The sequence below is a fragment of the Homo sapiens genome, chromosome 2 (assembly GCF_000001405.40).
Source record: "Homo sapiens chromosome 2, GRCh38.p14 Primary Assembly".
In the NCBI taxonomy this organism is placed as follows: domain Eukaryota; kingdom Metazoa; phylum Chordata; class Mammalia; order Primates; family Hominidae; genus Homo; species Homo sapiens.
This window is the reverse complement of record NC_000002.12, coordinates 222,297,426-222,320,605: the sequence shown is the minus strand read 5'-3', so window position 1 is coordinate 222,320,605 and position 23,180 is coordinate 222,297,426. Positions and strand designations below refer to the sequence as shown.

At 50.9% G+C, this 23,180-nt stretch overlaps 2 protein-coding genes and 2 long non-coding RNA genes across 12 annotated transcripts in view, besides 13 other annotated features; 2 read left to right on the top strand and 2 right to left on the bottom strand.

The window, feature by feature from the left end:
- Window positions 1–2,135, bottom strand: part of CT75 (cancer/testis associated transcript 75) — a 39,440-nt gene extending 37,305 nt beyond the window's left edge. For both annotated transcript variants that reach the window (NR_136642.1, NR_136638.1), the window contains exon 1: window positions 1,236–2,135. This is a non-coding gene — a long non-coding RNA (cancer/testis associated transcript 75). The remainder of the gene's footprint in view (window positions 1–1,235) is intronic.
- Window positions 271–580: a silencer, noted in NCBI's record as "silent region_12368". NCBI's record gives its function as "represses an Ori minimal core promoter by ATAC-STARR-seq in GM12878 lymphoblastoid cells {active_cell/tissue: GM12878}" and the evidence as "EXISTENCE:reporter gene assay evidence [ECO:0000049][PMID:35858748]".
- Window positions 451–6,458, top strand: RNF228 (ring finger protein 228). Its single transcript, NM_001395871.1, has one exon. The coding sequence runs from the start codon at window positions 541–543 to the stop codon at window positions 1,576–1,578; it is 1,038 nt and encodes a 345-aa protein (NP_001382800.1). The 5' UTR covers window positions 451–540; the 3' UTR covers window positions 1,579–6,458.
- Window positions 1,221–1,550: a silencer, noted in NCBI's record as "silent region_12367". NCBI's record gives its function as "represses an Ori minimal core promoter by ATAC-STARR-seq in GM12878 lymphoblastoid cells {active_cell/tissue: GM12878}" and the evidence as "EXISTENCE:reporter gene assay evidence [ECO:0000049][PMID:35858748]".
- Window positions 1,847–2,442: an enhancer, noted in NCBI's record as "NANOG-H3K4me1 hESC enhancer chr2:223182883-223183478 (GRCh37/hg19 assembly coordinates)". NCBI's record gives its function as "activates a minimal SCP1, AML or CMV promoter by ChIP-STARR-seq in naive H9 embryonic stem cells {active_cell/tissue: H9 hESC(naive)}" and the evidence as "EXISTENCE:reporter gene assay evidence [ECO:0000049][PMID:30033119]".
- Window positions 2,021–2,070: an enhancer, noted in NCBI's record as "active region_17159". NCBI's record gives its function as "activates an Ori minimal core promoter by ATAC-STARR-seq in GM12878 lymphoblastoid cells {active_cell/tissue: GM12878}" and the evidence as "EXISTENCE:reporter gene assay evidence [ECO:0000049][PMID:35858748]".
- Window positions 12,836–13,370: an enhancer, noted in NCBI's record as "NANOG-H3K4me1 hESC enhancer chr2:223171955-223172489 (GRCh37/hg19 assembly coordinates)". NCBI's record gives its function as "activates a minimal SCP1, AML or CMV promoter by ChIP-STARR-seq in primed H9 embryonic stem cells {active_cell/tissue: H9 hESC(primed)}" and the evidence as "EXISTENCE:reporter gene assay evidence [ECO:0000049][PMID:30033119]".
- Window positions 13,371–13,906: an enhancer, noted in NCBI's record as "NANOG-H3K4me1 hESC enhancer chr2:223171419-223171954 (GRCh37/hg19 assembly coordinates)". NCBI's record gives its function as "activates a minimal SCP1, AML or CMV promoter by ChIP-STARR-seq in primed H9 embryonic stem cells {active_cell/tissue: H9 hESC(primed)}" and the evidence as "EXISTENCE:reporter gene assay evidence [ECO:0000049][PMID:30033119]".
- Window positions 15,389–22,459, bottom strand: CCDC140 (CCDC140 long non-coding RNA). Its single transcript, NR_161172.1, has 2 exons — window positions 22,233–22,459; window positions 15,389–16,860 (listed from the first exon to the last, which is right to left on the bottom strand). It is a non-coding gene; the product is annotated as a CCDC140 long non-coding RNA (long non-coding RNA).
- Window positions 20,158–20,383: a conserved region, noted in NCBI's record as "conserved region; NCE1". NCBI's record gives the evidence for it as "COORDINATES:sequence similarity evidence [ECO:0000044][PMID:26252164]".
- Window positions 20,158–22,008: a biological region, named in NCBI's record as "PAX3 promoter region". NCBI's record gives its function as "regulatory_interactions: PAX3".
- Window positions 20,428–20,982: a transcriptional cis regulatory region, noted in NCBI's record as "StyI/XhoI fragment". NCBI's record gives its function as "negative regulation of expression" and the evidence as "EXISTENCE:reporter gene assay evidence [ECO:0000049][PMID:10191090]".
- Window positions 20,536–20,711: a conserved region, noted in NCBI's record as "conserved region; NCE2". NCBI's record gives the evidence for it as "COORDINATES:sequence similarity evidence [ECO:0000044][PMID:26252164]".
- Window positions 20,977–22,008: a promoter, noted in NCBI's record as "StyI/NaeI fragment for -650 to +379 promoter". NCBI's record gives the evidence for it as "EXISTENCE:reporter gene assay evidence [ECO:0000049][PMID:10191090]".
- Window positions 21,553–21,590: a transcriptional cis regulatory region, noted in NCBI's record as "SBE site; -60 to -51". NCBI's record gives its function as "mediates Stat3 induction of transcription" and the evidence as "EXISTENCE:reporter gene assay evidence [ECO:0000049][PMID:21997191]".
- Window positions 21,580–21,587: a TATA box. NCBI's record gives the evidence for it as "COORDINATES:motif similarity evidence [ECO:0000028][PMID:10191090]".
- PAX3 (paired box 3) overlaps window positions 21,608–23,180 on the top strand; it is a 99,112-nt gene continuing 97,539 nt past the window's right edge. For all 8 annotated transcript variants that reach the window (NM_001127366.3, NM_181460.4, NM_181461.4 and 5 more), the window contains exon 1: window positions 21,608–22,075. In NM_001127366.3, coding sequence (NP_001120838.1) covers window positions 21,991–22,075 — 85 coding nt within the window. In that variant the 5' untranslated portion in view covers window positions 21,608–21,990. The remainder of the gene's footprint in view (window positions 22,076–23,180) is intronic.

The following is a 23,180-nucleotide window of genomic DNA, read 5'->3' as shown; positions in this document are numbered from 1 at the left end:
AAACGAGGCTTCGCCAGGGACCCAGCCCCCGGGCGAGGAGGATAAACAGAAACACACTGGTGGGGAGGTCGTGTCGAGGAAGAGAAAGAAGGAAAACTCAGGAACCGGTTTCCTGCCACCACCCCGCGTAGGGGGCGGGGGACTGCTGGGGTAAAAGGCAACATCTTTATAAGCAGCCGCACCCCAAATCTCCTTCCCGAGCGCCTCCAGGCCGCCCTCAACTCCCAATTTCAAGTCCAACAAAAACCGATATCCTAAGCTGCTGGGAAAGCTGCGTTGAGAAGGCCGAGGGGGACTGCAGAGGAGCCCAGGGACGGGGAGGGACCGTGGTGCACGCGCCGGGGGCGGGGGACGGGGAGGCGGGAGGGGGAGGCGGTCGCTGCTGCGCCCCCGCCTGGCCCAGCCAGCGGTGCCTCCCCCGCCAGGCGACAGCAGTCAGAGGGGGGAGGCAGAAGCGCCTCCTCCCCGCCCGGAGCCCAGGCGGCGGTGCAGGGGGAGGAAGGCACCTCACCTTGCCCCCGATGAGGGGCGGATCATGCCATGGCAGCGCCGGCGAGCGACAGCGGCGGCAGCCAGCAGAGCCCAAGCAGCAGCCCCGGGAGCCGGGAGGGAGCTGGGGTCGCCGCGAAGGGAGCCCCGGACTGCGGAGACGCAGGAGCCCGGGACGCAGCGGAGACGGTCTCCGGCCTCCCTCCGCTTGAGGACTACGAGTGCAAAATCTGCTACAACTACTTCGACGCGGACCGGCGCGCGCCCAAGCTGCTGGCGTGCTTGCACACCTTCTGCCAGGAGTGCCTGAGCCAGCTGCAGCTCCGCGCCGCCGCCGCCGCCGCCGCTGCCGCCGCGCCTGAGCGCCCGCCGCGCCCGCCGCCCTGGCTCTGCCCGCCCGGCGCCATCGCGTGCCCGGTGTGCCGCCACCGCACGCCGCTGCCCGACAGCCGCGTGCACGGCCTGCCCAACAACACCAAGCTAGCCGAGGCCTTCCCGCTGGCTTTGCGCGCAGCGCACGACCCGCTGCCCCAGGACCGCCTCCCGCCGCTGCCCGCGCGCCTGCCCGCGCCCGCTGCTGCCCCGCCGCCCACCCCGGCCCCGCCACCGCCGCCCTCCCCCGCCCCACCGCAGCCGCCGCCGCCGCCGCCTGCCGAGGACGCGGCCCCCGGGCCTCGAGCCCGCCCCGGCCTGCGCGCCCCGGGCGCCTACGACAGCTGCCAGAACTGCAAGCGCGCGGCGCTCACCGCTGGCTGCGTGTGCGTGGTCTTCTCCTTCCTCTCCATGGTGGTGCTGCTCTTCACCGGCCTCATCTTCGTCAACCACTACGGCGGCGGGGGAACCCCCGGAGGCGGGGCGCCCCCTGGCGAGGCACCGGCCACCGGGTCGCCCTCGCCCTCGCCCGTGGGGCCCATCTGCCTGTCGGTGGCCAGCATCCTGGCACTCTTCTCGGTCGTTGTCACCTGGGTCATCTGCTGGCTCAAGTATCGGCCCGAGGGTGCGGCCGCGGGCTCGACGGGGGGCAGCGGCGGCGGCGGCGGCCCGAGGGCACGGGCTGCGGCGGGCGGCGCGCGGAGGAGCGACACATAGCCGGGCCACGCCGCGGAACCGGCGCCTGCACCTCCAGCCCCGCGTGGCGGGAGAAGAGGGGGCCTCTGGCTCGGTGCGCTCGAGCTTCTGCACCCTCTCCCTGCTGCCCCCGGGCTCTCCTGGACTCACACTCTCTCCCAACTCGGCCACTGAGGAGCCTCGGTTTTCTGTCCCTCGGGCTTCTGTCGCCCCTCGCCCTTCGCGCTGGGCCAGAGAGGGAAACTGAACAGGAAGGGATGTTGGTGGGGGGGGGGGGTCTCTTTTGCCTGGACTGTGCAAAATTGACCTCCGCGTTATGCACCACCCTCGTCCTCGTCAGAATGTGCGGCCATCCCTCCCTAGAGCACAAAGATCTGCAGAGACGAAGCAAGGGGAGGGGGAGCCCCACCGCCCCGCCTGAAAGCTGGTTTTCTGGCCGCCAGGACTTGAGAGTTTCTTTAAAGGTGCAGCTGCGCGCGTGCACACGTGCATCTGTGGCGGCTGTGAATGGACTTGAATTGCCCGGAGGAAGAATGAATGGGATGTAAACGTGAGAGGAAAAGGATTTCCTGCTTCCTAGCGGTCCTGGAAAGGGAGAGATCCTGAGCGCTGAGAGTGACGGACACTCCCCGCCGGCACAGCGCGGGCGTGCCCGGAGCTCAGGCAGCAGCTGGGCGCGATGGGGCAGGTGCACGGCGCGCGTGCGCGATCGGAGCCGACTCGGAGTGGCCGAGGCTGCGGCGCGCCCAGGGCGGTGGGCCCTGTTGCCCATGGCCGGGTGTTGTCTGGAGCAGAGCCTAGAAGTCTCATCTCCTGGAAGCTTGTGGTTGTTTTATTCACGGTGTTACTGCCAGGAAGTCTTCTGTAACTAGACTCAGGGAGCTTAAAGAGCCTGTTCTCCCTTCTCTCAAAAGTGGCTTACGGTTGCCCCCACCTGGAAGATATTGAAAGCTATTCACACAGAATATAAACTAGATTTTCTCCTTCCCCTCGCCTTTTTTTCTTAATTTCATTTAACATATAATTTATTTTTGAATATATAAATCTGGAAATTTTTGTGCATTAAGATTTCCAGAAAATTGTTTGATAAGCAGTGACATTATTCCCATACCTCGAGTCCAAATACATTTCGAAATTAGGAGCAGAAAATAAAAGCCTGTTGGTAATTGATTCAATATTTTATACTGTGAAATAACTAATGACTTTTAATTATCTGATAAAATATAAACTAGTGCCCAAACATGAAATCAACTAACTGAAGGTCTTTCTGCCTTTGGCTACAAAAGATATATATCGTATACACTTATTAGAAAGTATTATATGATTTTGAATTTAGCTGTTTGATATTGTTGGAATTACTGAAATGTTCACATACAGTCACATGAGATGAAAAAGAATATATATCTATCTGATTTTGTAACTACAAAGATGAATTGCCAGTATATGTTGCAAGTGGGTTAGATGCCTTTTTTTTTAAGAAGGAAAACTGTTCCAAATGTATTTTATATGAAAACATTCTTTATTCCATCTTTTGAAATTTGGAATAAGACAAAGTTTTCATGCTTAAAAATCACAGAATCTACTGAAGGTATGCTATTATTCCTCGAGTATTTATGCAAGCTGTCTGCATGATATCCTGACACTATTCTATTAATTGAACTTGAATCGAGCATTTGTATCTATCATAGGAGTGAAGTAATTTATTGGCCATTGATAAGTGGTTTGGCTGCAATGTAGAAACTACAGTATGAAGTGTTTTATGTCTGCATTGTCTTAATAATAAAAACAAGAGGTATTTATAGAAATATCTATTTTCATGACATTAATTTCATGGTAAAATTGCTCCATTATTTGTGTGGCACTTCTCTTCCTTAAATACATGTCCCCTTCTAAATCCAAATTTCACATTTTTAAATGGGGCTGAGAGAGAAATAACTCACACATGGAAATGTGCGTTGCTAAGATGGGCATTTAGTGGGATTATTTCTAGGAATAATGACCCTGGAAGGCCCAGTGAGATCTGTTGTATTCTGAAGAGAGAAGTAACTTACATATTTACTACCACAATGTCCACTAAAACTAAACTCTGTTGTCAGACTTTGTTCTTGCCTTCTATGAAATGTTTTTAGGTTTCTATTACTAAAAGTCACTTTTCAGAACTTAGTTTTAATTTATTTATACCCCCATGTCTTGTGTTTTACTTCTATATCCATTTTTACCTCTTATTCATTCTTTATTTACCTCCATTACTAAGATTCTGTTTGCACTAAAAACTGTTGAGTTGCACAAGTGCAGCTACACATGTATATATGTATGTATTAGGTTTATGTTTAAAGATATATTATGTATAAAATATATGCATACTGGTAACAACTTGGCTTTGTGGCTGTAACCATTGTACATGTGTACACACACATGAGTTTTTTATGTGTGCTAAACTGGCAACCTAGAAGTCTGTCTAAGGTTACTTTGGGCACCAGGTTTCTTTTTAGAGTTTATTTGTGCTCCAGAGAAGTATGCCAATAATGTAACCTAAAAGATTCCTCATAACTGAGAAATACATTCTTGAATCACCTCGATGGCAACAGAAGCCACATTTTGCTTCTATTATAGATTGCACGTGTAAATTTCATGTAATTGAAATTTGAGTTAGAATACTTTGAAGTCAAAGAGACACACTTAGCAGATCAGTATCTAAACATGGAGAGAGATTTTCTGTGGCTTACCATGCTTTATTGCTAATTTCTGATTTTGCCATCAGGAACTGAGTGGCAGGATGTGGTCATGGAAAATATCTGTCTGGTTTCTAGTGGTTATCTGGCATTCAGGTCTCTCTCCCCTCTCTCCATTCAGCAGATTGGGTTTAATCATTTATATTTACGTGGAAACACCTATACACCAGCACCTTAGACAAAGCAGGAGTTTAAGAAGTAATTGTTGAAATAGCAAGTAAGTTGTCTGGAGGATTCCTGGTGAAAGTGGTATTTTTTTTTCCCTTCCCATGGCAACTCTTCATCTTGGAAAAGCTTGATTCAATCCTGGACACCTCTACTACCAGTAGAGTCACTACAAAAAGCCAGGCCTGGTCTGGTCTCTGTACCTGCTTGGAAACTCCTGGTCCCCATGGGCCACATTCTGCCTAGGTTCTAGGGCTACAGGTTAGACTCATCATCATGCTTTCATAGGATCTACATTTCAGGTGAAAGAAACTCATGATGCAGGTGGCGAATTAAACATTCAGTCTCTGAATACAATATGATTTAGTGAACAACAGGCACATCTAGAAAGCACATTGGATTTGGGGTCAGTATCTGCAGGCAGGAGGTGTAAGCCTGAACATTGGTTCTCTCTTTAGTCGGAAAGACCGTTAAAAATCATTTAACCTCCTTTGAGTCTCAGGCTCCCCATCTATAAAATTAGGGGTGGGGAGTATCAGCGCCCCCTACCTCATGGAGTTGGTGTGAAGATTTGTACACATAAGAGGGTAAATTCATGAAAATTCTTTGGAAACTAAAGCCCTATATGGACCTTGCTTTTATTTAGGTCTCCAAGTGTCTAATATTACCTCCCCAGAGAGGTCTGCCCTGGCCACTCTATTCCCAGTGGGTATCTATCCCAGTTTTACTTTCTTAATGAGATTTACTTTGTATAATATGTGTTATACTGTTTGCAGTAGTCTTAGTTATCAGTTGCATTTTTCATCACTCTCCTGCAGAATGTAAAGACATAAACAGGAACTTTGTCTATCTGGTCATCCATTTGATCTGCAAAGCCTTAACCAGTTCTGGGCACATAGTGAGTGGCTGATAAATGTTCTGTTGAGTCTGCTGAAGGGACACTCTGGAATTAATCTTAAGTGACTTGGCTTTCCAGACTCACACTGACCATAACTCCTGAGATCCTGGGAGGCTTAGGTAAATAGTTTCCTTCCCTACTTCATAAGAATTTTTGAAAGGCAAAAAAAAAAAAATACTTATGGCAAGCACTTTGAGTTTTGAGAAAAATTAGCACTATAACAGTGGAACTCTTACTGTTTTATATTCAGCGATAGGAACCGCTAGAGAGACTAAAGGACATTTGGCCTCCATTTTTAATCAGTTCTGCATTGTGTGACATTTTAAGGTATCTTTGTGAACATGTCTACATTGTCGCCTCCAAGGCTAGCAGCACCTGCGTAACTGGGAAAAAAGCACATTGCAGTGGAATTTCCAACATGAGAAAAAGATCTATTAAATTTCTTACTATTTGTTACTCCCTGTTTTCTTAAGTATTCAATCTTTGCCGTTTTAATAAATCGTTATTCATAGAATTGCTAATTTTATGATCTTAATAACTAAGCAATTTCCCAGTTATTATGATCTTAATAACTAAGTAATCCCCCAGTTATTCTGTGATTCAACTCGTACCCTCTTTAATCATTTAATTCCTGTTAGCTATATTTGTATTTCACATTTCTGCTATTATACAAAGATGATGAAATTCACTTTATGGACAATGAACTGCATGCTTGCTAAATATGCATTACACGTCTTCCTTTGAAATCATATGTTTTTTATTGTATTTGTTATAGTGCAAGTTTGTTTGAGGAGCAGCTAATATTTACAGTAGTATCTATTTCTGAAATGAATGTTAGAAATGACTGCAGCCAGATCTTAGTTTGAAGTTATGTGAATGAAGAAAGTGTAAGAAATTGAATTTATCCTCTGCTAGAGATCTCTTTTGATTTTCCATATAAGATAAGCTTTGTAATATATATTGGCATTGTTTCATCCAATCAGTTTTGATTCTAAGCCTTCTGTACTCTTAAGCGGACTGAAATATGCCAAAGAAAAACAAGTTTGTTTCTGTGATGAATTCACAATAATTTCTGATTATAAAATATACTTGGAGAAGTAAGAATATTCAATGCCTAATTTCCAAGAATATTCCTAGGAGCTGAGGAAGAATGTGCACACTTCCTTTTTTTTTTTTTTAAGCTGCCTTTGCATGTAAAATTGGATTATCTTTGGTTTAGAAATACCACATCTCCATGGGGTTGAGTGGGGGATATTGAAGTAGGAAGAGAGTGGAGAAAATATGCAAAAAGTTCCCTTAGCTTTTAATCTTACAAAACATACCACAAAATAAACAGAAGAGAGCATGTTTAATCACTGCAAGAATAGAACAATTTTATTTCAACAACTATGATTTCAAGAACTGTGGTAATATGTGGTCCACTCAGCTATCTCATAGCACATAAACAAGTATTCTCCATCATATATAAATAACACATTTGTGTCACTACTGTGTGACTTTAAAAATATTTTGTAGTCAAATTTGAGAGGTAGAGAGCAGGTTCTATCTGATGCAAAGTTTGGGGAAGAATTACCTTCCAGTGAGAATTGACAGTCTTTGCTCGGAAAAAAATTGGAGGGCCAAGTTCCGCAAGGCAAATGATTTGTCCCTAGAAGCTCATTTCCTATTAAATTCACACATAGCAAATTTATCCACCGACGTGAGCTTTATGGAGGTTCTCAACCCTATTAGCACGTTAGAATTACCTGGAGAGCCTTAAAAAGAAATTACAGAAGCACCCTTCCTGCCCCCAGAGACATATATTTAATTGGTCGGGGCAGCGGAGAAGGAGATGCATCGGTATTTTTTAAAGGCACCCCATGTGAGATTATTGTGCAGCCAAATTTGAAAGCCATTATATTTAACGTATTTACTGAAAGGCGACTGTCTTCCTAATCTCACTTTAATGAACTAAACGCCACCAGGTGCCCTATCTTAGAAACCGATTGGGAGATGCTGAGGCAATGCTTAGATTTTGAGTTTTGGAAGTGGTCTTGGATCACCAAAGGAGGGTTATTTAAACGTTGCTTCTCTCTCTCTCTCTCTCTCTCTCTGACACACACACACACACACACACACACACACACACACGCACGCACACTCCGGTTACCTTTGCGTTCTCAGGAAGGTTAAGTAAATACTTGCACCGGCATTTGGCTGCTGGGCTCTTTTCTCACATGGGCGGGGTGGCGGTTGCTCCTTCCCCCATCAGGGGGCTTTTCTGTGGGCTTCCCCATCCCCCACAAAATAGGTGCTTTCCAAGTCCCCCGTGTCATCAAAATGCAGTGACAACGAGGGGATTTGAGGACGGATTATGCGGATAATCAGGGAAGTCTCGAGGTTAAATTAACAAAACATCGCCAGTGATAGATGTGGGTGTCATCGCCAGTGACAGCTGAAAGGGGAATCTCAGCTTGTCGGCTGGTCGCTGACAGCTGCCGACGGGCGAGCTGATCTAGCGCAGAGTCCTGTTTTAAAATACTCGCCAGGAGATCTGTTAAAAAGATCCTTTTTAATAGTAGCCATTCAGCGTGTAAATTATTTCCACGCTCTTGGGTGCAGGTATACTTCGGTTTGCACAGAGGCCGAGCTTCCGGCAGTCGGTGGGAAGCGGGGGATTACCTCCATTTCTCTCCTTGTGGGTGCGCACGCCGGCGGTGGCTCGCAGCTGAGCCCAAGGGGCAGGGCGCGCGGACCGAGGACTGGAGCCCCTGCTTACTCTGCGACCGCAGCCCGGGGCAGCCACTGCCACTGGGACACCGGGGGAGGCTCTCGGGTGGAAGGGCAGAATCCTGCACCCTGGAGCTGGCTGGGTCTTCCTCCTCCCCTGCAGCCTCTCCGACTGCAAAGGACCCAAGGCCGCCCGGGGTGACAGGCGTTGAGCCCCTCTTGGCCGGGCCAACGACGCTTTAGGCTGTCCCGTTCGTCCCACTTGCCAGCTCCATTACGGGTTAGTTTGAGATCGGAAAGGCAGAGGAGGGCTTGGGGACAAATCGAAGGCACAAGGACGCTGTCATGATCCCACTTATCACGCGTGGAGGGAACCAGAGGCCACACTATCTTGCCAACCCCATCACTCGGCATCCCGGCTGAGTTTGGTTTGCCTTTGTGCGAACCTGGTATTCAGCCTCACCTGTGACGTCCCGGATTTCAAGGGCTGGGGAGTAGGTTATTTACAACCGGATGACGTTTTTAATATTCCAAGATGCCCACGGGCCGCTCCCAGAGCCCGCCCGAAAGCTCCGCGTTCGCATTTATTTGTAACAATAGCAGAGGTGCCCAAAAAAGTAAATTAAGAATAAAACAAACGCCGGGTGCGGTGCCTGCGCCCTGCGGGGAGTCGCCTTCGTTTAGTCCCAGGTTTCTCCGGCGCTTTCGGCCCCCAGCAGGGGTTCGAGAATCTCAGCCCCAAACGGCTCCGGAAAACCTGCTCCCCGTCGAAAGTCTCCTATTTCCCCCTCGGCTTCCAAAGATGCAAAGAGCATCTTGACACACCCTCTCATTGTCCGAGGGCGGGGCAGCGTGACCTGGACACGAAAGTTGGAGGGGGGACTTGGAAACACCTTAGGAGTCTTGAGGTGCGTTAGTACATTTCTTCCCAGGGGCCGAGCCTGCGTCCTCACGCCCAGGGGCCCAAGACCCGGCCTCTGCAGCAACACAGTCCTTATTCCAGACCTTCTATGAAGTCTGTACAATCAGACTTGGCGGTCGGGAAGAAGGCGAGGTTCTCTGCGGGGCTTGCAGCGGAGTAGGAATGACTCAGAACGCCCGCAAAGACGCCGCATTCCAAATGCAGAGCAGATCGGCTGTAACAGGAAGGCGAGAAGCTTAGAATTCTTACTTTATATCTTCATCTTCCGCCTGCCATTGTCCCGACCGACTTAGAGGAGGAGGGTTGAGGCTGAAGTGTCTCAAGTTGTTTTCTCATGGCAATATAGGCTAATAAATGTTCCCCGGGAAGAAAAAAAAAAGTTGTTTAAAATAAGCAAACACTTTAGGCAGGGCACAGTGGCTCACATCTGTAATCCCAACACTTTAGGAGGCCGAGGCCAGAGGATTACTTGAGGCCAGGAGTTCCAGACCAGCCTAGGTAACACAGCGAGATCCCCGTCTCTAACAAAAAATACAAAAATTAGCCGGACATGGTGTCACACTCCTGTAGTCCCAGCTACCTGGAAGGCTGAGGCGGGAGGATCGTTTGAGCCCAGGAGTTCGAGGCTGCAGTGAGCTATGATCCGGCCACTGCACTCCAGCGTGGGTGACAGAGCAAGACCCTGTCTCAATCAATCAATCAATCAAATAAGGAAGCACTTTAAAGTGGGATTATTTGATGTATTTTAAAAGGGAAATGAGGTGAAGTAAATTTCTAAATTATTTCCAATCGAGATAAGTTAGTGTGGTGTCTCCTGAAGGTATTAAAGGTAACTTTTGTTGACATTTACTTACTGCCACAACAAGGCAAACAATGAAAGATGAAGTATTTAGGTAGCTTCCAGACCTCGTGCTTTCCGGGGCTGATCAAAGTAGTAGAAAACTAGTACTTTCTAACGGACCAGGACTGGTAACATAACCCTGTCCTGATTTAAACCCTAACACAGCGGCTTCTTAGCTGTATGACCTTGGGCCAGTTAATTAACCTATCTCTACCTCCTTTTCTCATTTTAACTAGATATAACCTAATTGATTTGAGCAGTAAGTAGATGAATCTTTGTAACATACTGAGAACAATACCATTACATACTAAGCACTCAGTAAACATATACTTTTATGATTCACCATTATCAAGTACTATCGTCACCACGTGTGGATTTCCTTAGTTCTCCTGAGATAACTTATTCAGCTTATTTGGATGGGGACCCCCTGCAGCAGGACCAAGAAACAGCAGGCCCTCCAAGCTCTCGTGTTGCCAGCCCCAAGACACCAAAATGTCCTCCGAGAAATCTCATGAAGAGTGTCGTCCCCAAGACAGAGACTGAGACAGGTGAAAGGTGAGATGGCTTAGCAGTTTGTAATGCTAAGCAGGGCATAGTGGCATCGTCTTCCCTGATTCTCCCATCCTGGCACTTCGGTGACTTCTACTTTAAAAGGGTTTATTCCAAGTATTTGATATATTTACCTTCACCTTTTCTCCTATTTTTCTGCACTTTTGCAAGGTTTGAGCAGGCAAAGTGCAAACTCGATTTATTTTAAAACCTTGGGAGCAAAACAAATAGGTTTTTTCTTAAGTCAGTACAAAGTAAGGGTATATGTAATTTGTCTAGCCCATGATAGGATCATAAATATTGCATTTTCCTTTCTAATATCTTTTTCCCCTATTATGGAAGAGTGAATTGGGGATGCAGATCAGTTCTCCCAGTGCAACTGTGTCCTTCCAATTGACAATGATCATTGTTGCCTAGTGTAATATACCACCTGGATTCCATGTAGAACATTAGTTAGGATTCATTTTATCAGAGCAATCTTCTCTTTTTTCCAGGAGTTTTTCCTTTTTTCTGTCTCTAAGATTATCCATTCCTAGGACTTTCCTGCTTTTTGAGCTTGGAAAGCTTCTCTGAATTTTCCTGCCACCCTGCTTTTGAATGTCCTGTGGTCTGGCTCCTGCCCTCCTGAGTCATCCTCCTCCAGTGAAACCCACACAGTTTGCTCTTCTGAAAGTCAAACTGCTTCACCAAGCAGAAGACTGGAGCAAAGCCCCTATCATGTGACCTTGTACTGAGGGACCAGAGATTATCTTCTATTACAGGCACGATTCTCATGTCCCCATTATGACAGAGGTACCTGGTCTTTCTGAGAACCTCTTTGGATTGCTTTGGAGATATGAAGATTAGGTTTGGAGATGCCATGAAGATTCCCTTTCAACATGGGCCTTCTCACCTCTTCCACCGGTATAGGTTTCTGTTTACTTCCCTGATGAGCAGCTCTAAGTTATTTATTGGTAGGTTTTACTTTATCAGTGGTTCTTGTGATAAGTAAGTACCGCTCTCTTTGACTGTGAAGCACTTCTGCATATTGATGTGAGAAACCTGTAGTGTAGTCAGGTGCGCATGGTGGCCCATTCTTATAATCACAGTGGCTTTGGGAGTCCAAGGTGGGAGAATGGCTTGAGACCAAGAGTTCAAGACCAGTTTTGAGACTCCATCTCAAGAAGTAAAGGTGGGGGGGGGAGAGAGAGAGAGAGACAAGAGAGAGAGGAAGAAGAAGTAGTAGAGTAAGAACAAGAAAACAAAAGAAAGAAGGAAAGAAAAAAGAAAGAAGAAAGAAAGAAAAAAGAAAGAAAGAAAAAAGAAAGAAAATCCATTGTCTTTTTTCAAGCCTCTACTTTTTTCAAGCCTCTACTGCAGGGCAACACACTGTTGCCTCCACTTCATCTGTTGCATTCCTTGGTCCCAGACTTCTTAGGCTTTCAAAGATGTGTTCAAAGACTTTGTAATAACCTATGAAACCTTGTGAAAATATTTCCTCCTGAATTCTTCCTGCTGGTTTATTTTCCATTTATCTCACAGAAATACCAGCCAAGGAATGATGACTAGTTCTTTAGGGCCTTGGGCTCCTCTGGATTATCTGGAAAGAGGAGTCTTCCACACCCCTCCCACTGCCAAAGTGGTAGTAGCTCCTCCAAATCACCCAGGAGGAAAACACAGACTTGCCGCCACAATGTGGAGCAGGGCACTCCTAGCTTTCCCAACATCTCCCCTGCCTTGGAGGGAGTTTCCTCTCGTATGGGAAATGGGAGTGACAGGTCCTGTAGAGTGGGGATCTGGACACCAAGAAGGCGCGCTGTCATTTTCTGTCAAATAAAAATGCACTTTTCAGCCGATGGGGGCTAGATGAAGAGGCCCAGGTCCATCCTGGATTTTTGAGCCACGATCACCGGAAGGGAGGAGGCTCATACCTCTGGCACGTCAACAGTGACAGCTACCCTACCCCTGGAGGTGGTGAGAGGAACAGAGCTCAAGGGAGCCTCAGCCGGTCCACCAGAAGGTTCAGTCCCCCGTCACTCCCATAGCCATTTTGAAATATCTTCCCAAAGAAGACAATGGGAAATATCTAGAGAGATGCTGGGCCCGCAGAGGAGGCAAGCACTACCTCTTTTGGAGGGAAGCATATCTGCAGATTTGGCTGCCCAGGCCCTGCCAGGAGTTTTCCAGGACCTCAGACTGCCACAGCACAGTAGGCATTCACTAAACTGTTGTGGACCACATGGTTTCATCACTTTCCTTTTTCCTTGCCTTTCCTTCAGCCAACACTCCTTCCTTCTCTCCCTTCTCTGCAAGGAGCTACAGCTCCGTAGAGCCTGCCCAGACCACTCCTGCTGAAATATCAACTGCACCCCAGCCTTTCTTACCCGCCCACTCACTACCCCACCCTTGGTCTTTCAAGCTTCTCCAGAGCTGAACCTCAGTCTTACAACCAATCTCCTGGCAGGGTGCATTTCTATATTATTTTTTTGCTATTTTCTAGACCATCAGCTCTGCCAGGGCAAAGACTTTGGTCTGTTTCGTTGCTGTGGTGCCAGCACTCTGAATGGCACGTAGTAGAAGCTCAATAAGTATATGTGGAGTAAGTGAAAGGCCACGTGCGCCAGAGTGCAATCGACTCCAGGCGAAACTGGAAGACTAGCCCGGCCGACGATTCAGTGGGGGAAGAGAGGAACAATAAAACAATCTGGTGATCCGCAAGGTTCGCAGGTGTCTCAGGTCCAGAGACGACCCGTGAGCAAAGGAGCCTGAGAACTTTCAGAGGGAGAATGAATGATTGAATGTGAGAATGCGGGACATCGGAGTGTGCCCAGCTCCAGCATTAAGGAAACAGCAGGGAAGAGGGAGGTGCTCCAGGCGCTGCTAAACCCTGGCGGGTGGTGCTAGTGGGCCACTCCCACACGCACTCTCGTCTCCGCTAGTGCAGCCCAGCAGCACAATGGGGCAGGTTCCTTCGCCCGCCACCGGGTGCCCAAGGCTGCGTGCTGGGGCTCAGTAGCTCCCGGCAGAGCGCTCGAAGGAAAGGCTCAGTGTGAGGTGCGACTTTCTGCTTCCCGCGGAGGCTCCGAAAGGCCCTCGAGCCAAGGGCGCCCGAGGACGTGAGGGTGGGCAGGCCAGTCCTTTAGGGTGGGAACCAGCTGAGGGCCAGACCTCCGACGCCAAGCTTGATCCAGCTTTTATAATTTTTTTTTATCCAGTAGAATCTCTTGAAGGGACGATGGTCCAGGCTCAAAGCGCAGAAAGGTTAGGACCTACTAGTATAGGGTGGGACTAGGGAGCAAGGTCAGGCCAAGAGGTCAAACCCTGCTTTGCTGAGAGAGGTGGTCGCACAGGACACCCCGCCCCAAGGCGTTTTCCCTTGAAAGCCCAGGGTAACCTGCCTTCAGCGGACAAGACTGCTGCGGGGCTACCCGGAAATACCCTGAGTTTGCACCCACCCCCTCTAACCGCAATCTCCAGTCAACTTTCCCACTTGCGACCCGGAGGCTGCGAACTTTCCTGGTTCTCTATGGCAATAACTGGAGGATCCCTCTCTCTCCCCAAAACTCACTCCTGAGCAGTGTGCTGGTCCTATGGCAACCTGGTCACCTGGGAGGAGTTGGTCGCCCTGACAACTTCTAAGGTCTTCCCCGCCCCATCCCCCAGAGCAGTTTTTCGGGGCGTCCTGGGGCAACAGGAGGTTTTCTGCCTCCCTCTGTCATTTCGCCCCAGGCTCCTTTTTAGAGGGTCCTAGGGAAGAGGAGGACTGAGAACCGCGTGGTCCCCACTGAGCCTAAGGGTGAGGGGACGGAGGAAATGGGCCATAAAGTGTCCACGCGAGTCCCTGTGCGAGTTTCTGCGTACGAGCGCGTGCCCAAATAGTGAGTGGGGGTTATTTTCCGGCCTGTCAGGGGATCTAGAGCGGTCCTGCTAGCGCGCAGCCAGCCGGTGTTTCCGGAAAGGCCTCCCTGCGCGCCGGCTGAGCAGCCAGTGCCAGGCGAGCCCAGAAAGGTGGAAGTCACGGTGGAAACGCCGGCCACGCGGCTCCTTCTCCAAACGCGCTCTGGGAAGGGATTAGGCGCCCCCTGCACTTTCGCTTTGGGCGTGATTGATGCGAACGGCGCGCTAAGGGCTGCGTAATTAATAAAGATTACGCCGGTTTTGTCGAAACGTTCCTCTTAATTAATGAAGAAGCGGGGCGCCAAGGGTGTTTGATTTGCATTTGGAAAATTCCCTCGGCGGCTCGGGCTCAGTGGTGAAGCGGCCGCTGGGATCCGGGACTAACGGGCAACCGCCAGGCCGAGGCGTTCTTGTTCCGGATCAAGTGTACCCGATCCTGTTCCCCTCGCCCCGAGATCTACCGGGCCGCACTCCCTGGGGCTCAGGGCCCGACTCAAGTCTGTCTCCATCCAGCCCTCCTCGAGTGGGCCTCCTTGCCTTCTGCGGACATTGGCGGGCACCCCCGCCCCCCAGCCCCGCACACTTCCCGCAGAACCTCTTGATCCTTCCCCGTCCTTACCCCATCTAGAGGGTACCTCCAGGAGCCCAGATCACCGATCCTTGTGCTCGGCCAGGGCTTTCGTCGCTGCCCTCTGGGAGGGGGCCGAGGGATGGAAAGAAGAATTTATTCCCTGTCTCTAAGGCCAAAGGGCGCTCAGGGAACGCTGAGAACCCTCCCCGCCCTGCGTGATTGTGTGTGTGTGAGTGTGTGTGTGTGTGTGTGTGTGTACATGTGTGGTTGTTTGTGTCCCTGTGTGGGTCGTATACGTGTGTTTCGGGGAGTGGTGCGTTTTGTTAAAATATTACATTTTCTCGGGCCTTACTGTCCACCTGCTGCAGCCCAGGAAAAAAGAACCTCCTTTCCCCAGCGTTGCCGCAGTGAAACACTTTCGCTTTAACCATAGACTCCTCCACCCTGGTCCCGGGTTGGAGGGGGAAGCAAATGCTCCCTGCCCAGCAGCAGCTGGGGGCGGGGAGGTGGGAGAGACCCACTGGCCGCGTGGAGGGCCCGAGAGCCGAAAAGCGGCTTCAAAGGTTTTGGTAACGACTCTTCGACCTTTATTTATGCCCCTATTAATACAATATCCATCATGTAGATATCGATCTTTATCCTTTAAACTGATACGCTGAGAATCAATTAGCCATGCAGATTACATTTCCTACATATCCAAATGTTAGTCTCTTAGGCTGAGAGCCGGTGATAATATATTTTTGCAGCCAGATAGTATTAGATTTCGTTTAGAAAAAAAAGAAGACGAAGAAGAACAGGAAGAAAGGCTCTCTGAGGCTCCTTCCTCTTGGGGCTACTTGTCTTAACCCGGCTGAGGCTGGGGTGCCCCTCATAGAGTTTTCCGGGGCGAAGAAGCGAGACCGCGAGGATGGTGCGCGCGCAGGGCCACCGTGGGGAGCCGGGCAGCTTTCTGCAAGAGGGCTCTTGGAGGTTGGCGGGTTAGCGAGGGGTCTGCACTTCTGCCGCATGCTCCCTCCAGCTAATCAACGGGTCTCGGTGGCCCCTTTCGATGGGTTTCTGTGTCGGAGATGGTCAGTTTTCATCTTTTTAGAATTTTTCCACCTGCTTCTCCAATCTCCAAGGTTCTGGATCAAAATTATTCTCCTGTCCCTCGCTCCCAAACGTACGACTTATTTAAAGGTTCATCTCCAGAAAAAGAAACTTTATTTAAAAGAGGAAATGGGTGTTTTCTTGGGTGACGGGAGATGAAAAAGTTTAAGTTCTAGGAAGGAACTTAATGCAAGTCATGTGTAGAAATTCAGGAAGCTTAGGCCTCCTGCTTTGGTTGTGGTGAGGAGAGTTTCTCCCCTCTTCTCTCCCCCGCGTTTTACCTCCATTCTTCCCTCCTTTTATTATTTTTTAAAATTTCTTTCCTTCTTTCTCTCTTTTCTTCTCTTTCTCTCTTTCTTCTTTTTCATCTCCTCCGCCTCTTCCCCAATTTTGAAAGAGTGAGGGGTCGGGAGAGTACGTGTCCTAGGGCGGGCAGCCCTCCCGGGGTCTGTGGACTGTGCGCTCTCAGGAGACGCCCGGGTGGAGTTGGATATCTCCGAGAGGCAGGTGCGCGCAGCACTCTTCAAAACGCCTCTCTGCAGTCCCAGGTCCGCGCTCCCCAAGAACTGGCCAGATCGCGCCGGGCTTGGCCCCTGACAACTCTGCCTCCTCCACCTGTTGCGTTTACTCCGTTTAGTTGGCTGTGCAGTCTCTGGCCCCAGGTGTGCTTTTAAAACTCGAGGAACGCGGGTGTTGGACTCATTCGCAGCCTCTTGCCTCTGGTTCCCGTGATCCCACGGTGGCGAGCTTCCAGGCTCAGCGAGGAGATCTGGGTTTGAACATTCATCTCCCATGTTACTCTTTTCTTGCTCCTCGCGTCACTGGCCCCTCTTTCCTGCCGCTGAAATCCATCTCGAGGAGAAATTTTCTGAGACCCAGTTTGAGAAGCGGCTGAGGCTCACTGCGCTGGTTCAGGAGCTGGGGCCGCGTGGAGTCAGAAGGAGTCCAGTCCTGATCCGAGCGAAAGAAAGACCTGTTAGTTCCCCCTTCCCAGTACCCTCCTCCCCCAAGAGCAGGACACACAGCCCCAGCTCTTTATGTACCGGCGCCCGGAGGCAGGAGTTCCTGGAGTGGTCACTCGCCTACTTTTTTGCTCCACGAGTCAAGGAAACCAACGGACCCCAAGGTTTCTTTTATTCACTTCCTCCAGCTCTGTTCCCGCCCCCACCTCACTCACAGCCTTCACCTGCCTCCGCACAGATCAGATTTTCTGGTCTTTCCAAGGCCTAGGCTGCCCGCTCCCAATACAAGACGGTCCCCCAGCTAAATAAGGTCCTTCAACCCTTACCCCTTTCACACACACCAGATTCTTTCACACACACACATACACACACCCCGAATACACACACCCCGAATACACACACCCCGAATACACACACCAAAGAGCAGTTACCGAAGAATCTGTCTTCTAAACATCACCCCCACCCCACCATGAACTTTTACCTAATTGAGCAGAACATTTTTTGGAAGATTAGACAGGACTTACTTATTTTTTACAAGACATCCTATTCTTCCCGCCCTGGAGAATCGGGCGGCGGAATCCTGTCTTCCTTGTTTGCCTAAAAATAATTTTCTCAGACCCAAATGAACTAGGACACCAGCTGCTGTGAGATTTATTCTTCTCTCCCTCCCTCACTGCCTTTAAAAAAAAAAGTACCTCTCTCTTCTTTTCCTCTTTTCTTTTTCCTTTCCTATTTTCCTTCTCTCTTCCTATCTTCCCACAAACCATATGTTCCTTATTGTAAACCCGCTCACACGTTCCCTGGGGCTCCCCCAGCTGAAGGAGCAAACCCACTTCGGCTGGCCTACACCATGTTTCAATGGGATGTCCACATCCTCATCTAGTCCCTTAATCCGAACTCATCCCGACTGATTTTTCGATGGGGAGAAGAGCGGCGCCAATGCTTTTGACAAATAACTGCGGGGGGCCTAATGACTGTCACTGAGGCAGCGGCTGCGAAGGACCACGGGTTTAACCCGGGCATTCACCAATCCTGTATCATCACATCCGGACCGGAAGCTCATGATCACGAACCTGGCGTTTTGATGTCCTCCCCGTGAGCCCCCGGCAGCCTTTCTGTGGGATTGAGGGTTTCTCGGCGTTTGCCCAACTTTTACTGCATCCTGAGAATCACGCCTGGGGCCGGGCGGGTGGCCAGGAACTTCTCTGCTCGACCGTGTCAGCCTGCCAGAGCTCGGCCCTTCAGACGGGAGGAAAAAGGTCTGGGTGGCAGACACCACCCCCGCTCCCCACTAGGTCAGGGACATTATTTTGCATAGATCATAATTTCCTCTTAAGACCTGTGTCTGGCTGAGTATGAAGTCAACCCTCAGAGGCCCTGAGAAGTCCACGGGCCATGAAACCCTTGTGCCAGTGTCCCCAAGTGCGGAGGCTGTTCGCTAAAGGGTGCTTCACAGCCCAGGCCGGTCACCAAAGTGCGACTGGGCTGTAGACGCACGCATCCAAACGGGCTGCGAGGGAGAACTTTCAAGCTAACAAGGGCACGCTCCACTCAGGCCTGGACAGCCAGCCCGCTGTTATTTTCACCTGTAGTGTCTCTGAAACTGGGGGCAGAGGCGCAGAGGGGACAATAGAAGCTATCTCCCCCGCCCACCTTTTTTTTTTTTTTGTCAAATTATCCAAATATCGTCTTCAAGGCTCCCGTTTCATTTCGAACGTGCACAGAGCGTGAGTGGACCCTACACTCGTTCACAACACCGTTGTGGAGAGTCCCACTGATGCTTTCTGGGTAATTTGTTAGCCCAGGTAAAAGTCACTGCCTCCCAAACCAGGGTTCAAGGATGCAGGGCGCGGGCCCTCGCCTTCCAAGCCCCACCGCTGGGTCATCCCTTTACCAATTAGCGCCTGTACCGCGGCCAAATTTGGCACCAGGACTCCTTGGCCCACCGGCTGCGGATAGGGAAGTGGCCTGGACTCCCATCCAGCTGCGGGGTTTGGGTGTGGGGTGGCTTGGGCTCCGGAGAGACTTCAGAAAGAAATAAAGGGGAGGCCCAAGACTCGGAGACAGAGAAAGAGTGGCTGGAATCACCCGGCATTCCTGAGACCTGTTGCGCCCTGTTCTGCGGAGTCACGGCTCTGAGCCGGGTTAGGTTTGGCGGCGTGCGGGCGCCCTAGGCCAGGCAGCCTCAGCCAACTTTGCTGTCCTGGCCATCCCAGGTCGGACTTCGGGGACACAGGCCACAAGAAATTTAGATTCATTAAGTCTTTGGATGTGGCCCAGCTGTCCAGAGCCTAAGGGTGCCCTCCCACCCCTCTCCGGGTGTCCAGGGACCTCTGGCCACTGGCCGGTGAGAAGGGCCGGGCTGATCATCTGGGTACATATGAATCTCAGAGCGCTCGGCAGAAAAGAAAGAGGCCGGAAAGGAGAGAAAATGAGTCGCCTCCTGATTCCGGAGCTTTAGGTCCCCAGCACCCCCACATCCTTGTGGCCTCCATTTGTACATGTTTATAGCAAGTGACAGCTAGTTTATGAACCCATGGGCACTTAAGACCCAGCTCAGCCGGCAGTACCTCCGTTCAACGGTCCCGCGGACTCTGCAATCTACGGGACCGGGAGAAGGAATCTTGCAGCAAGCGCTTCCCTCCAGCATCTGCCGGCTCTTAGGAGAGAAAACTCCCGGCAGGAGAGAGACGGGTGGACGCTGGGAGGGCTTGGAGACCAAGCCTCCGGCTCAAAAACAAATGAGACTCAGCTCTAGATGTTCTTTAACTGCTCGCGGGGTCCAAGAGTTTATTTTAGCTGAGAGTTGAGCCTACTTTTGCCTTCTTGAAATTACACTTCTGGTACCTCCTTCACACAGCAATTACCGCTGACCCCAGAAAGTGCTCTGTCGACTCTGCTTAACCTTTGGGAAGAAGAAAACTTGGAAAAAGTCTAGCTCTCAAAATGCTATCGCTGAGAAGTGGCTTAAAACGTACGGACACAGGCTTTGGTGGCCCCAACGCCTTAAAAAGAAAATGAGAAAATTTTCCCCTTGAAAAATTGAATCATTTAATGTAAAACCAGGTTAAACAAGGCACATGCCTCCTTCATGGGTCCAGACATTTCTGGGAGTCTCCTGAGACCTGTCTCCGTGGCTCTGAGGGTCAACCAAGCCTTCTGGCATCAGGCAGGCTGAAAGCTTGCCTGGTTTCCCCAATGGTGAGTGGGTTTTTAAAGGGCCAACTTGTGGACTGCTGAGCGGCTATACCCCACACCCCCCTACATCTTGCCTTCTGAGTTTGCCTTAATTAGGGAATGGGGAAGTAGGGTTGGGGGCCCGAGTTCACGTCAAAACTGTCAAAGGAGGTGGGGGAGGGGGACAGAGAGAGAGGAGTGGAGAACTCCCTCCAGGGGCAGGAAAAATTCAAAAATCATAAAAGGAAAAGGGGGAACTTGAAGCCCAGAAGTCATTGTTTCCTTTATTTCAAAGGGAAAAACCTGCCCGATTCTCATCCTTTTGATTGATTAAGGCCCTGAATACCTCGCGGCCCCGGAGTGACAGTCCCTGAATAGGCTCGAGCGAATAAAGCGCAGTGCAGAGCGCGGGGCTGGCACTCGGGGGTGTAAAGGAGGCGAGTTCGCTGGCACTTACCAAGTTATAAATAAAAGGCTATGCACAATGGTACCTTCTCTAAGGACAGACAGTCTTTACAACACTCCTGGCGTCATATCCTGCTGGGGACACTTCAGCTCCTAGCCAAGACTTCGTTCCTTTTATTTTTCCAGCAGTTTAGTCTGAATGCCATAATAAATTCCTGAGAACAAACGCTGAACCCGGGCAAAACTTTAACATACAGACACATCTCTGTCGACGCATCGGGGATCTATATGTAGAGATTTAGAACCGCAGCTTGCCAGAGCGGTTTTTACACCAAGAAGAGGAGCCAGGTTTTTTTCTGCACCCTCCCCCATACCCCCAGCCTTCAACTAACGAGTGCTTGGGCCTAGCGACGGCTGCCTGTGCTTCACATTAGCCCCGCTTGCGGACGGAGAAGACAAAAGAACATCAGCGCACCCTGGACTCCTCCCAGGAGGAGCCCCATCGGGAGGACCCCTTAACAAGCCTAGGCCAAGGGGCACTGACCACAGGAAGGAAAGCTAAATATGTCTGGGGCCCCAGATGCCTTCTTATTGGAATTGTGCCCCCTCCAGTGGCAGTAAGCCAAGAGAAATGAGAGCGAGACCTACAGGTAGAAAAAATGAGACATAGAGAGAGACACAGGAAATCACAAGAGGAATAGAGGCTGAGCGAGACACACACACAGAGGCACAGAAAGAGACAGAGAGGGAAATAGAAAGTCAAGGAAAGAGTGATCAGAGAAAGACACACACACACACACACACACACACACACACACACACACACACACACACAGAGTGACACAGACAGAGAGACAGAGACAGAGAGACAGGAACTTCTCCGCCCTCAGCAACTGCCATCTCCCTGGGGCTGTCTCTCTCAGTTTCCACCGGGCCAACCTTCTCTCCTGGGCAAGGGGCGCAGCGCGGGTCCCCCTCGGGGCCAGCAGAGGCCTCGGCACCACCAGAGATGGGAAGAGAAAGTGGTCGCTGTTGCCCAATCAGCGCGTGTCTCCGCCACCCGGGACGGTCTACCCGTCGGCCAATCGCAGCTCAGGGCTCCTGACCAAGCTTTGGGTAAAAGAACTAATAAATGCTCCCGAGCCCGGATCCCCGCACTCGGTGTCACCACAGGAGGAGACTCAGGCAGGCCGCGCTCCAGCCTCACCAGGCTCCCCGGCTCGCCGTGGCTCTCTGAGCCCCCTTTTCAGGGACCCCAGTCGCTGGAACATTTGCCCAGACTCGTACCAAACTTTTCCGCCCTGGGCTCGGGATCCTGGACTCCGGGGCCTCCCCGTCCTCCCCTTTCCCGGGTTCCAGCTCCGGCCTCTGGACTAGGAACCGACAGCCCCCCTCCCCGCGTCCCTCCCTCTCTCTCCAGCCGTTTTGGGGAGGGGCTCTCCACGCTCCGGATAGTTCCCGAGGGTCATCCGCGCCGCACTCGCCTTTCCGTTTCGCCTTCACCTGGATATAATTTCCGAGCGAAGCTGCCCCCAGGATGACCACGCTGGCCGGCGCTGTGCCCAGGATGATGCGGCCGGGCCCGGGGCAGAACTACCCGCGTAGCGGGTTCCCGCTGGAAGGTAAGGGAGGGCCTCAGCGCGCCGCCTGGATCCCAGGGCCTGGGACCGGCTGCCTCACCCCATCCCCAGGCTCCGCAGGCTCCTTTGGTGCTTCCAGGAAGCCCATTCCCTGGGCACCCCACACCCCAAGAAGCACCAGTCGGGGGCGAGGACCTACTCGATTTCCTTTCTGCAAATGGAGCGCGCTGCTCTCTGCAAATCCTGGCGGAGCTGGGCGGTCAGGCCTGCGGCGAGCCGGGGAGACTTGTCCCTGTTGTTTTGGAAATGCCGCGGTGGAGAAGGAGGTGAACCGGCTTCTGAGCGGCAGAAGCAACTTCTCCGCAATTTGTCCATTCGAAATTGTCTCGAAGTTGTCTCGAAATTGTCCCGGCTGCGCCCACACTTGTGAAACATATGTTAGTTCAGGAAGTATTTTTTTTTTTTTGCCCTGCAAAGTTGTGGTGGCTAACGCCGCGCCATTGTGATTGGAATTTTTAGAATAATTAAATAAATTAGAATTCTATGTATCTCAAATAGCATCTAGAAGTTTCTATAACTTGTTTAGGAATCGCCTTTCCGTCCACTTGAAGATTCTGGGAATCCCGGGGAGGCAGGAAGTCTTGCAAGCCTGAGCCGTTTTCAATGGTTTTCCAGGTTAGGGCGCCCCAGCAGAGATGCTCATCGCCCCCGCCACCCACTCCCTTCACACCCAGCCTAGAGTAGAATGTAACACCCAGAGCAAGAATGGGGGCTGGGGGCCCAGGAACAGCCCTGCCGCTGCTGTGGTCTCTGTCCCAAGATGTAACAGGTGACACAGGCACTGCTGCTTGGGCCTCCTTTCTGGACCCTCTTTGACCCTTGGCTGCTGCACTTTTGGCTAGAAACCCCAAGGGCTATCAGCTGGCCCAAGTCCCTTAGAAAGGGAGAGATCCCAATTGGACAGGGATCGGTGGGAGCAGAGTTCATCAAGGCCAGCTCCTGGGTGAACTTCTCTTCGCCAGGAGGCTGTTTCTAGAGCAAGCTAGACTCTCTACCAGCTGCAGGGTCTCCTAAGTTGCCACTCCCCGGGCCCGAAGGGGAAGACGCTTTCTCTGGGGAGAATTATTTTGCCCCATTTGCTGTCTTT